At 45.8% G+C, this 13,612-nt stretch overlaps 1 protein-coding gene across 21 annotated transcripts in view; it reads right to left on the bottom strand.

The window, feature by feature from the left end:
• TPO (thyroid peroxidase) overlaps positions 1–13,612 on the bottom strand; it is a 169,627-nt gene that overhangs the window by 63,598 nt on the left and 92,417 nt on the right. For 19 of the 21 annotated variants that reach the window (XM_047445652.1, XM_047445655.1, XM_047445654.1 and 16 more), the window contains one exon: positions 2,472–2,990. The exons of the other annotated variants lie outside the window; for them this stretch is intronic. In XM_047445652.1, the coding sequence (XP_047301608.1) occupies positions 2,472–2,990 (519 nt within the window). The remainder of the gene's footprint in view (positions 1–2,471; positions 2,991–13,612) is intronic. 21 annotated transcript variants of the gene reach the window in all.

Below are 13,612 nucleotides of genomic sequence, written 5' to 3'. Positions count from 1 at the left end.
GCGCAGTGGCTCAGGCCTGTAATCCCAGCACTTTGGGAGCCTGAGGCAGGCGGATCACTTGAGGAAAGGAGTTCAAGACCATCCTAGCCAACATGGCAAAACCCCATGTCTATTAAAAATATAAAAATCAGCTGGGAGTGGTGGCACATGTCTGTGGTCTCAGCTACTTGAGAGGCTGAGGCAGGAGAATCGCTTGAACCTGGGAGGTGGTGGTTGCAGTGAGCCAAGGTCTCACCACTATACTCCAGCCTGGGTGACAGAGTGAGACTGTCTCAAAAAAAAAGAAGAAGAAGGAGAAGAAGAAGAGGAGGAGGAGGACGAGGAGGAGGACAAGGAGGAGCAGCAGCAGCCACAGCCGCAGCAACCAAATGTCATTATTTCTAGGTCAGTAGGATTCTCAGTAACTTGGAATTAAACTGTCTCTAATCTACAATGACTGGGCCTGGTAATAATTCACGCCTCTAAATAATCCCAGAACTCCATGGAGAAGAAAGACAACAGGGTGCGTGACAATTGGGCGTTTCCCGCTCTGTGAACGGGCTCCAGGGATCAGAGGCAGCTGCTCTTCTCACAGCTCCCTGGGCTGGATGAGGTTCTCACTCAAAGAAGGTTCAAACCAAATCCTGCTCCTGAGGAGACAGAAGGGGCAGGACTTCCAGAATTATTTTTGAGATTCTACTTCATTCACAAACTCTACATATATTTATGAAGCAACCTGGCAAATTGTGGGTCCTGAGAAACAAGAATTAAATGGATGAACATCTGCCCGTGGAGGTCGCAGTCAGGGAAGGGGCACAGAAGCAAGGAAGCAGACAGGAGCGCCGAAGGCCTCAGGGGTTGAGCAGAGGGGAGAAGGCAGCCGTCTGGGACCTGCCTCCCCACGCGTGTGGCCGGAAGTCCAGACTCATGGAGACGAGGACCTGGATTCCACCGCTCAGCAGCTCCTGGGTTTATATTCCCGTTTGCACGGGGAAGCAGGAAAGTGTCTGAGTCGCTGCTTGAAAGCGACGTGGGTGCCTGATGATTTTTACTTCACATAGTGACAAGGTTCCTGTTTTCATTTCTAACTCGATCTTCTCACCCACATAAGCCTCCTCCGTCCGGCTGATGCTCCCCACCAAGCGCTACTGTGTGGATGTGTGTGTTAGGACAGTGAACTCGTCTGCCGTGTTTGCTGTGTGGATGTGCGTTAGGACAGTGAGCTCGTCTTCTGTGTTTGCTGTGTGGATGCGTGTTAGGACAGTGAGCCCGTCTGCCGTGTTTCCTGTGTGGATGTGTGCGTTAGGACAGTGAACTCGTCTGCCGTGTTTGCTGTGTGGATGTGCGTTAGGACAGTGAGCTCGTCTGCTGTGTTTGCTGTGTGGATGCGTGTTAGGACAGTGAGCCCGTCTGCCGTGCTTGCCGGAGAAGTGTGAGGGCCTGCTGCTGCCAGCCCCTGTTCCAGGAAGCTCCAGGTCCCCTCGCCACCCAGGAACTAAGGGTTAACACCCAGCGCATGGAGGCTTCCCAGACCCTCTGCTCTGACCTTTGGGGCCTGGACCCCAGTGCAGTGAAGGCCAGAAAGCGGCAGGGGCGCATGGTGCCCGGGGGCAGCCGGTGCCACACACAGCCCCTGTGCCTCCTCGGACAAGGCTCCAGTGCCTCCTTTAGAACAGGACTGACGCGCACCTCCCTGCAGGCTCCCGGCTAGGACTGCAGACACGATGCCCAGGCCGCCACAGGGCCTGGTGCAACAGACACACACGGTGACTCGCATATCAAACAGCCCATCCTTCTTCCTAACAACCTGTGAGACCCCTAGAGTCAGGGACCGCATTTCCAGGTGCATAAGTGCTTTTCTCCATCACACAATTAATAAAAGGCCAACTTGACTCTCCATTCAAGACCCTCTCATGTGATACTTAAGAAAGTCATAAAATGAAGAAAGGTTTCAAATAGACTCTAACTTGTTAGTTCAGAATCCTCACACAGAGTCGGTTCTTCATTCACTGCACTGTCTCTGAAATACAAAAACACCAGCACCCCTGGTCCACCCACCTCCAAGGGTTGTTCTGGGAATTATTAAATGAGTTGAAATCTGTAAAGCACGTAGCTTGGCTGTGCGCACCGGGAAACCTGGGTGGTCTGGCTGCCACTGTTGTGGGGCTGTGGTTGTTGGGTCTTGGTGGGATAATCACCAGCCGGCTGGAGGGTAAGCAGGTGGGACAGAGGGGCCCCGGAGGGCCGCCAGCTCCGGAGTTACCCTTCGGCCCCTGCACAGGAGCTCACGATGACCCTCCACACGCCCATGCAGGGCGCCCAGCAGGACTGCGCACCCACACAGGGCCCCACGACCTGGAGCTCACCCATGTGGGCGCCCATGATGGCTGTGCAAGTACCTGGGAGAGAGAAGCCACGATGCTGCGCACCCACACGAGGCGCCCCCCGCTTTGCCCGCAGCCACCCAGGGCGCCCAGGACCACCCCGCGCACCTGGTGCAGAGCGCCCACGACCTTGCGCGCCTCCTGGTACACGGCGTCCGCGCTCCAGTGCGCATTGAGGGCCTTGAGCGCCGCGGCCAGGCGGTTGTGCTCGCGCAGCCACAGCGTGTGCAGTGCCGTCAGGGAGGGGACCTCGCTGGCGCGGCCGTCTCCGGCCAGGAAGCAGGGCCCGCGGGTCTCTCCGGGGATGCCGGGCTCGGGCGCACAGGCCGCAGGCGCGCGTGGCGGCACGAAGGGCAGGTAGGCGCGGCCGGAGTCCCGGAGGCGCGCGTGGACGCGGAGCAGCCCTTCGGCACTGGTCCAGTTCCGCAGCTGCCTCTCTAGGGCCGGGGAGCTGCCATACACGGTGGACGCGTCCAGGAACGAGGTCAACCCGTTCATCTGCTGCCGCGGGTTGGCCGTGGACAGGTTCCCAAAGAGCGCGCCTTGGTCCCCGGTGCCGCAGGCGGCCGAAGAGCGGTAGAAGGGCAGACAGGCGGTGCCCGCGGCCGGCCGGGCCTCCTCCGGGAGCTGCAGGCAAAGGGGAGTTCAAGGTCACCCAGGGCCCCCGTGCACCCTTTGTAAGACTCTGGAAGTTCGAGGCCGGCGACGACCCCGCAGCGCCGCACGTTTCTCTGCCCCTCCAGTCCTCTGTAGGGGTCAGTCCAGCCAGTCCCCTCACCTCCCCCCCCGGCCTGCTTACCGGTGGTCTCTTGCCTGGAAGAGGCTGCAGGGGTTGGTCCAGCCAGCCCCCCACCTCCCCCCTGGCCTGCTCACCGGTGGTCTCTTGCCTGGAAGAGGCTGCAGGGGTCGGTCCAGCCAGCCCCGCACCTCCCCTCAGCCTGCTCACTGGTGGTCTCTTGCCTGGAAGAGGTTGAACCCAGAGGATGGACCCCACATCCTAGGAGTCCACATCTCCCCAAAGCTCAGACGCTCTTGGCCTGAGCCAGTCTCGCTCCTGCTCAGACCTGCTCTAGCTGCTCATGGAATCCCCGGTCTGGTTTATTTTCTGACTTTCGGAAGAGCTGACTTCTTCCTTTCCAGTGCCATGGACTTGGTTTAGGAGCACAATGAGTAAACAGTCTCCGAGTTTTGTGGGCATCACTGTTTAGTGTAAAGGCAGCTTGAGGGGAGTGAGGAGACCTTGGGTGGGATTCCAACTCTGGCTGTGGCCAGCTTCCATCTTCTCATCTGTAACATGGAGATCTAAAATATTTTTTCCAGATTTACAGGTTTCCTGGGAAGAGTCGAGCTCTGTGGGCTGCAGAGAGCATGTGCCCTTTCCCTGTCAGCTCTTCCTCCCTGGTGAGGTGTCACGGGGTCAGGGCCTACCCTGGGCGTTATCAGATTTAGGAGGTTAAATCGCTCATCCAGAATCACAAGATCACCGGGGTTGGACAGATTCCGAAAGAGACTCTTCCTGAAGATCACGGTCTTCTCGTAATAGGACATTATTATTACCAGTGAAAATAAGGGGAAAGCTCCTCTCGGGGCAAAGTGCAGCCTGGGCACTGAGGAGTAGGAAGGAACGGAAGACCTGGGCTGCATTAGGGAAATGCGGCCAGCGAGCCAGCAGCCGCTCAGGGGTTGGCCGCTCGGTGCCGTGCGGTGCAGGGAGACAGGCCGAGCTCCTGATGGACCCAGGCACAGGAGGTGCAGCAGAAAGAATGTAGGTGAGAGGGAGTCGGCCTTGTGGTGAAGCAGCAAAGCAGATGCTGTCAGAACCCCTCTGGGCAGCGCCCAGGCCTGGCAGCTGTGCAGCCCAAGGCCAGCTGGGGGTCGGGGCAGCAACGAGGCCCCAGCCTTGGCTCAGAGCCAGCACAGGGTCCACGTTAAAAAAGATCGTGCATTAAACAAGCGCTTCCGGCCGGGCGCGGGGGCTCACGCCTGTAATCCCAGCACTTTGGGAGGCTGAGGTGGGCGCCCAGCAATTTGGGAGGCCGAGGTGGGCGGATCACGAGGTCAGGAGATCGAGACCATCCTGGCTAACACAGTGAAACCCCGTCTCTACTTAAAATACAAAAAATTAGCCGGGCGCGGTGGCGGGCACCTGTAGTCCCAGCTACTCGGGAGGCTGAGGCAGGAGAATGGCGTGAACCTGGGAGGCGGAGCTTGCAGTGAGCCGAGATTGGGCCACTGTACTCCTGCCTGGGTGACAGAGCGAGATTCCGTCTCAAAAAAAAGAAAAAAGAAAAAAAAAAAGCGCTTCCACTGAGAGCCTCAGGGAGGCCTGCGAGGCTTAGAGTAGACGAGGTGAGTACTTGGGGCCAGCAGGGAACCCAGGGAGGAGCTGAAATTCAGCAAAAGAGTAGGAAAGCCAAGAAAACCGTGACAGCCGGAACTTCAGTGCACGCCCTTCAGAATATACAGGCCCAGAGGCCCCAAGAATGGGAGGAAATAGAGGAATTAAATTGAAGAGCACAAATAATAATAAAATTACAAATAAATAACAAGGAGCTGCAAATTCTCCTACTCACTGATTCAAAGAGACTCTTAAGAAGAGCTGAAAGTGTCTCCAGAAATCAATGAAAAGTTAACTCACTTGTTAAGAAAATTCAAGCACACCAGCAAAGCCTTCCTCAGAAGAAAATCTGTGCTCTTTAAATTGCTTTCATCAAAACAACAAAAACCAAGAAATTAAGTAGCTATTTTAAGAATTTAGTTAAGTAACAAAGAGCTAAAGCACAAATAAATGAGAAAGTTAAATTAATGCATGCAGAAGTTAAAATAATTAACTATGAATAAAAGACCTGGTGGGAAGAAAACATGAAGCCCTGCTTCACAACCCAGTGTGGAAAACAAAGAAAGAGCACCGAGTGAGGCAGGATTTGCCATGAGAAAGGAGCAGGGCTCAGGCATGCAGGAGAGATGAGAAGAACCAGGAGCGACTGTATATGCGGTTTCATGGCAGCACATTGGAAAATGAAGAACAGATCGATGACTCCCTAACAAAATAGAAATAACCACAGCTTTTCCAAGAAGAAATGTAAAACTCCAATGGACAATGAGGATGGAAGAGATAGACAAGGTGATCAGAAATCCAGAGGTCAGATGGCATTGACGGTGGACTTCTATCAAATCTCGAAAGGATAGGTAACTCCAAGGTTGCTTAAACTATTTCAGCCATGGAAAAGATGAAAAGGGCCCCAGTGCACTCTACAGAGTCAGCGAAACTTTTGTATTGGCCTCTGATGAAAACAGGACAAGGACAGGGCATACAGATCAATATCCCTTCTAAATAAAATAATAAAAGATAGGGCAGCAAATCAAAACAGCAATTACCATAGTCAAATAGAATCTATTCACAGAATGGTTCCGTGTTGGAGAATAGAGTTGTATTTTCCAGGGTGTCAGCAAATTAAAGAAGAAAAATTAATATCATAGGTACTTAAAATGCAATAACACAATTTACTATTACTTACCATTCCTGGTTAAATAGAAATAGAATAGATTGGAATTGCTAAAATATAATGTAGAAACAATAACAAATATTATCTCGAGCAGTGAAACAATGGAACAATTTAATTTAAAATTAAGGACTAGCAGAAACTCCCGCTATCATTGTTGGTACTTAGTACTATCTCAGTTAGACCAAAGTCTAGAAAATAAAATAAGAGCTGGTAAAGCTACTGTAAGAGAAAATAAGATTTAAAACATAATAAAATTATTTTTTCTTAATGCTATGTTAGATGTCTACAACATCTAAAAATTCTAAAAAATTGATAACATTTCTTTAAAAAATGTCTTCGATCTGAGGATAAGTATAAAACTGTTCTTTTCCTTCTTTCTTTTTTGTTTTGTTCTTTAGCAAAGTACCATGAATGGTAATGGAGAAAAAAAAATCCCTTTCATAATGACAAAAAAGTTGATCAAAATCAGGTGTGTAAATTTAACAAAATAATCACATGATCTACAAAAAGAAAATCATAAAACATCATTAAATATACAAAAAATTTGGGAAAAGATCATTTCTCTCTAAATGAATGTATAAATTAAATGCAATTTCATTTACAATAATAATGATAGTACTTTTTCATTTTGAAATAGATAAATTAATTTTAAAGTTTATATGAAGATACAAATTCCATTATTTATTTATTCCTTAATAAACTAGGGAAAAGAATGGTGATGCGGTATTGACTTGACAGATAATAGGATATACTATAAGGCCGCTATGACCAAGTCCACACGGTATTGTCAACAAGAACAGATGAATCTGTTAATAAAAGAAGACAGAGAGCCCAGAACCAGACCCCAGTTCTTCTGTGACAAAGTGCTATCTAGGCCTGTGGGGAGAAGGAGGGCAGAACCAGCTGGTTTTCCATCTGAATGGGAATAAAACGCACCCAGACTGTCCACTGTGCAAAATGAATGGAAACCCGTGCTGTAATACCACCCAGGAGGTCACTGTCGACTTCGAGCAAAGGAGATTCCTGAACCAAAACTGAGCCTAGAAGCCATCAACACATAAGTAGACCTGGCCTTATAAAATATGAAAGTGCTTCATGCTGACAGTTCTGTATTGATGGGGCTGTAGAAAAACATTTGTAAGAAAAGTGAGAGATAGAGAGTTAACATCTAGAGTGGAAAGGAGCAATTAAAATCAATTAACAGTCAAATAGTAGAAAAATGGACAAAGGCTATGAACAGATCATTCGTTGAACAAATACAAATTGCCAAAAAAAGATAAATAAAGGACAACTTTAAAATTCACTAATATTCAGGGAAAGCAACTAATGTAACAACGAAATATCTCTCTCTCTCCTTTTTTTTTTTTTTTTTTTTTTTTGCCGCCAAACAAGCAGAAAAAAATGAGAAAAAAACAAGGCTGTTGCCAGTGTGGATGGCGAATGTGAGTAAGGGGTACACTCAGTCGTTGCTGTGAGGGTCACAGAATTTTTAGACAGTAGTACCAGCATAGCAGTGCTAAAGCTGCCTTCCAACCTGGCAGTGTCACTTCTGGTGATCCACGCTGTGGCAGAGGCTGTAACACGGAAGGGCACACCCATGGCTGTGACCCGGAGTGTGGAACAGTCCAGCCGTAAGCAGGGATGGCTTGGCGCTCCACTGGGGGGATTCCCAGGACACATCACTACTGAGTGAGAATCCAAGATACAGAACGTGTACTCAGCATAGTCTTGTTTTTGTTAACAACATTCAAGAGAATATGCTTGTGCATGACTTCTTTAGGTGTAGCCAAGTGAGCATTCATATCATGGAAAGGGCACACCGTGACCACTCATATCGTGGGAAGAGCACACTATGAGCACTCAGATCATCAGAAGGACACACCATGAGCATTTGGATCAAGGGAAGGACATAGCATGAGTATTTGGATCACAGAAAGGACACACCATGAGCACTCAGATCATGTGAAGGGCACTCTATAAGCATTCAGAACACAGGAGGGGCACGCCATGAGCATTCACGTCATGGAAAGGGCATGCCATGAGCATTTGGATCACAGGAAGAGCACTCTATGAGCGTTCAGATCACAGGAAGTGCATGCTGTGAGCATTTGCATCATGGGAAGGGCATGATATCAGCACTCAGATCACAGGAAGAACATACTATGAGCACTCAAAGAATGGGATGGGTATGCTATGAACATTCAGATCATGGGAAGGGCATGTGCTATGAACATTCAGATCATGGGAAGGGCATGTGCTATGAACTTTCAGATCATGGGAAGGGCACACCATGAGCATCAGGATCATGGGAAGGGCACACCATGAACATCAGGATCATGGGAAGGGCATGCCATGAGTGCTGAGATCATAGCAAGGGCATGCTGATTAAAACGGGGTGCCCAGTGAATCCCTTTGAGCCCACTATGCTGTCTACACCAGCTTCTTACTATTCTAGTTTCATTTATCATGCCCCCTTTCCCCTACACACACTTCAAATATCAACATTTGGGAGTCAAATGATTGGTTTGGGGGCAGGGGCATGAGTGGAGAACATGGGAGTGAGCAGGAGGAGAGTCTAGCAAATGAGGGAGGGAGAGGAAGAGACTCGTGTCGGGAGAGTCAGGCACAGTTTAAGTTTTACATTTATGTGAAATTACACTTACATGTGGGTGCTCAAGTTTAATGTAAGAAATTCTTATTTGAATTAAAACCTATTTTGAATTAACATCAATGTAAGGACCATGTATCAAAATTTGTGGGGGGGGGTCACAGGAAAATACATAGTCTTAACTACACTTGTCAAAAAGCACGACACAGTGAACGTAACTCAACTCGCTTTCAGCATAAGAGGGTGAGAAATGTGAAGTAGATGAAAAAGTGTAATAGGAAGGTAATAGAAAATAAAGAACAGGAAAGACTTATGGGCTCGAATAGACTAACTGCACCCAGAACTGAGCCCATAACCAAAGATCTGCCACCCCAGAGGTTATCAGGACCAGAGTCACAAATAAGCTCTACCAGTTATTCAAAACAAAAAGCCCAAATTTGATTTTAGACAAGGTAATCCTGAGCATAGTAAAAGAATGGGCAACCCCTGACCACTGTCAGATGCTGGTGTGTTTGTAACACCCAAATAGGTGCAGCATCGGAAAAGAGCACTGTAGCACAACTCTGCTTATGAAGAGAGAGGCAACATTTCAAATAAAATATTAGCAAATTCAATCCAAGAATAAATGAAAACCTGCATCACCATCATGCAGGCCATGTAAATATGGCACTGCGTTGGAAATCTACCAGTGTAGCTCACACAATAATGAAGTGAAGTGGAAGCCCTGTGGCCTCCTCTGCCGATGCTGGGAAGGTATTGAGTAAAGCTGGAACCCACAAGCCTCATTAAAATTCTTGGGAAATTACAAATAAGATTTTCAAATTTCTAACTGAAGTTGTCTAGCAGAAATTCCTAGTAGACACAGTATGTGAGGAAAAACATCAGAATCATGCCCTTTATCTAGGAACAGAGGCAGATGCTGCTCTCACCATGGCTTTTTTAAATGTTACTCACTAAAGCAGTATTTTATCTACACAAAATAGAGTCAGAATAAAACAAAGTTGTATATCAAGCCCAGTTTTTAATATGTTTAAAATAAAATATAGAAAAATATATTTATATATATATTATTATATATACCAGATAAGGAAGACCTGCTCAGTAAGATAACAATGTAGATGTCATAGAGAAGAAAAAAAATTGACGAAAATCGACCTAAATTTATGAATAATGGCACCGTAAACAAAATGAAAAGCCAAGCAATCATATAGAGTGAAGGACCAAGGCTCACTCCTTGTCCACCTTTTTCGCCTTTGAAACCTGTTTGCAGCAAAGATCTAACAAAGCTCACGTCCAAAGTTATTTGGATCTAAGTATTCCGGGCAGCTATTCTCATTTTGGCTCAAGTAAACTCTTTAAAATGTATTTTGTGCCTCAGCTTCTTGCTTTAGGTCAACAAAAGAGACACAGATACAGGTTTTAAAGCCAATAATGTAAAATTCAAGATTTTCTTCTTTACCGCATTGGAAAATAATAGGAATTATGTAAGATTAATTGTTGCTGAAAAATAATCAATTAGAAAATACAATTCGCCATCTCATTGCTGCAGAGAAATTTGGGAGTACCTATTAAAATTCCAACATGAGGAGGATTTTTTGTGACGGATCATGGCGGACAAGAGGCAGGACTAGGTTTCAGCTCTCACTTGGACAAACAGAGCAGTGTGTGGAGGTTCACGTCGTGAACTTTTGCTCCAGAACGACGGCAGGAATACATTAGGAAAGCCAAGAGAAACCGCAGACCCTCTGAAGAAAGCGGATGGCTCCTGCAGGACTCGGGAGACACCCCAAATACTGTGAGTGCCCAAACTGAGGAAGTGGGAGAGATCGTCCACCCTGAACATGCACCCCCACTGCGGAACCTGAAGGTCTAGATTACGGGAGAAGATTCTGACTTTACCCGGAGCTGAGTCCATTTAGAGAGCCGAGTGGAATACAAGAGTAGAGGAAGCAGCCAGAAAAGCCCTGTGGGATCTCTGGGTCCCCTAGGAAGCCATTTCCACCTTGCCTCACAGGGGTCCTTCAGGAGGGCTGCCAGAGGCACCTGTAAAAGGCCACAGGGAGAAGGAAACTGCCAGCTGAACTTTGTAACAATTTGAACTTGGTGGCTAGATCCAGAAGAGAGATAACAATAACTACACCTTAGCTCTCAGGAAGCCACATCCCTAGGAAACAGGGAGAGTACTAATCACGTCCAGGGAACACCCCCTGGGGCGAAAGAATCTGAACAACAGGCTAGAGCCCTAGACCTTCCCTCTGACAGAGACTACCCAAATGAGAAGGAACCAGAAAACCAACTCTGGTAATATAACAAAATAAGGCTCTTTAACACCCCCTAAAATCACACTAGCTCACTGGCAATGGATCCAAACCAAGGAGAAATCCCTGATTTACCTGAAAAAGAATTCAGAAGGTTAATTATTAAGCTAATCAGGAAGGCACCAGAGAAAGGCAAAGCCCAATGTAAGGAAATCAGAAAAATGATACAAGAAGTGAAGGGAGAAATATTCAAGGAAATAGATATCACAAATAAAAAACAATCAAAACTTCAGGAAACATTGGACACACTCAGAGAAATTCAAAATGTACTGGAAAGTCTCAGCAATAGAATCAAACAAGCAAAAGAAAACTTCAGAGCTCAAAGACAAGGTCTTCAGATTAACCCAATCCAACAAAGACAAAGAAAAAAGAATAAGAAAATATGAAGATAGCCTCCAAGATGTCTGGGATTATGTCTAATGACCAAACCTAGGAATAATTAGCATTCCTGAGGAAGAAGAGAAATCTAAAAGTTTGGAAAGTTTATTTTGGGGAATAATCGAGGAAAACCTCCCTGGCCTTGCTGGAGACCTAGACACCAAATACAAGAGGCTCAAAGAACACCTGGAGAATTCATTGCTAAAAGATCATTGCCCAGGCACATTGTCATCAGGTTACCTAAAGTTAAGATGATGAAAAGAATCTTAAGAGCTGTGAAACAAAAACACCAGGTAACCTATAAAGTAAAAACCTATCAGATTAACAGCAGATTTCTCAGCAGAAACCCTACAAGCTAGAAGGGATTGGGACCCATCTTCAGCCTCCTCAGACAAAACAATTATCCACCAAAAATGTGGTATCCAGCAAAGCTAAGCTTCATAAATGAAGGAAAGATAACAATCTTTCCCAGACAAACAAATGATGAGAAAATTCACCCCTACCAAGGCAGCACTACAAGAACTGCTAAAAGGAGCTCTAAATCTTGAAACAAATCCTGGAAACACATCAAAACACAACCTCTTTAAAGCATAAATCTCACAGGACCTATACAACAAAAATACAATTAAAAAAACCAGCAAAATCACAAAAACCCAAGGGGTACAGGCAACAAATAGCACAATGAATGGAATGATACCTCACATCTCAGTACTAACATTGAATGTAAATGGTCTAAATGCTCCACCTAAAAGATACAGAATTGCAGAATGCATAAGAATTCACCAACCATCTGCTGCCTTCAAGAGACATGCCTAACACATAAGGACTCACATAAACTTAAGGTAAAGGGGTAGAAGAAGGCATTCCATGCAAATGGACACCAAAAGCGAGCAGTGTAGCTATTCTTATATCAGACAAAATAAACTTTAAAGCAACAGTGGTTAAAAAAGACAAAGAGGGTCATTATATAATGATAAAAGGCCTTGTCCAACAGGAAAATATCACAATCCTAAATAAATGTGCACCTAACACTGGAGTTCCCAAATTTATAAAACAATTACTAACAGAACTGAGAAATGAGATAGACAGCAACACAGTAATAGTGGGGGACTGCAACACTCCACTGACAGCACTAGACAGGTCATCAAGACAGAAAGTCAACAAAGAAACTGTGGATTTAAACTATACCCTGGAACAAATGGACTTAACAGGTATTTACAGAACATTCTACCCAACAACTGCAGAATACACATTCTATTCAACAGCACATGGAGCTTTCTCTGAGATAGACCATATGATAGGTCTCAAAATAAGCCTCAATAAATTTAAGAAAATTGAAATTATATCAAGCACTCTCTCAGACCACAGTGAAATAAAACTGGAAATCAACTCCAAAAGGAACCTTCAAAATCATGCAAATACATGGAAATTAAATAATCTGCTCCTGAATGACACTGGGTTAAAAATGAAATCAAGATGGAAATTAAAAAATTCTTCGGGGCCAGGCACAGTGGCTCATGCCTGTAATCCCAGCGCTTTGGGAGGCTGAGCTGGTGGATCACCTGAGACCAGGAATTCAAGACCAGTCTGGCCAACATGGTGAAACCCAATCTCTACTAAAAATACAAAAGATTAGCTGGGCATGGTGGTGGATGCCTATAATCCCAGCTACTCGGGATCCTGAGGGAGGAGAATCACTTGAACCCAGGAGGCAGAGGTTGCAATCAGCCGAGATTGTGCCACTACACTCCAGCCTGGGCAACAAGAGCGAAACTCCATCTCAAAAAAAAAAAAATTCTTTGAACTGAATGACAATAATGACACAACCTATCGAAACCTCTAGGATACAGCAAAGGCGGTGCTAAGAGGAAAGTTCATAGCCCTAAATGCCTACATAAAAAATCTGAAAGAGCACAAACTGACAATCTAAGGTTACACCTTAAGGAATTAGAGAAACAAGAACAAACCAAACCCAAACCCAGCAGAAGAAAGGAAATAACCAAGATCAGAGCAGAACTAAATGAAATTGAAACAACAACAAAAAAAATACAAAAGATAAATGAAACAAAAACCTGGTTCTTTGAAAAGATAAATAAAATTGATAGACCATTAGCAAGGTTAACCAAGAAAAGAAGAGAAAATCCAAATAAGCTCAATTAGAAGCAAAATGGGAGATATTACAACTGACACCACTGAAATACAAAAGATCATTCATGGCTACTATGAACAGCTTTATGCACATCAACTGGGAAACCTAGAGATGGATAAATTCCTGGAAAGATATAACCCTCCTAGCTTAAGTCAGGAAGAATTAGACACCCTGAACAATAACAAGCAGTAAGATTGAAATGGTAATATAAAAATTACCAACAAAAAAAGTCAAGAACCAGACAGATTCACAGAAGAATTCTGCCAGACATTCAAAGAAGAATTGTTACC

This window comes from Homo sapiens, chromosome 2 (genome assembly GCF_000001405.40).
Source record: "Homo sapiens chromosome 2, GRCh38.p14 Primary Assembly".
Classification (NCBI taxonomy): domain Eukaryota; kingdom Metazoa; phylum Chordata; class Mammalia; order Primates; family Hominidae; genus Homo; species Homo sapiens.
This window is presented reverse-complemented; position numbering and strand designations above follow the sequence as displayed.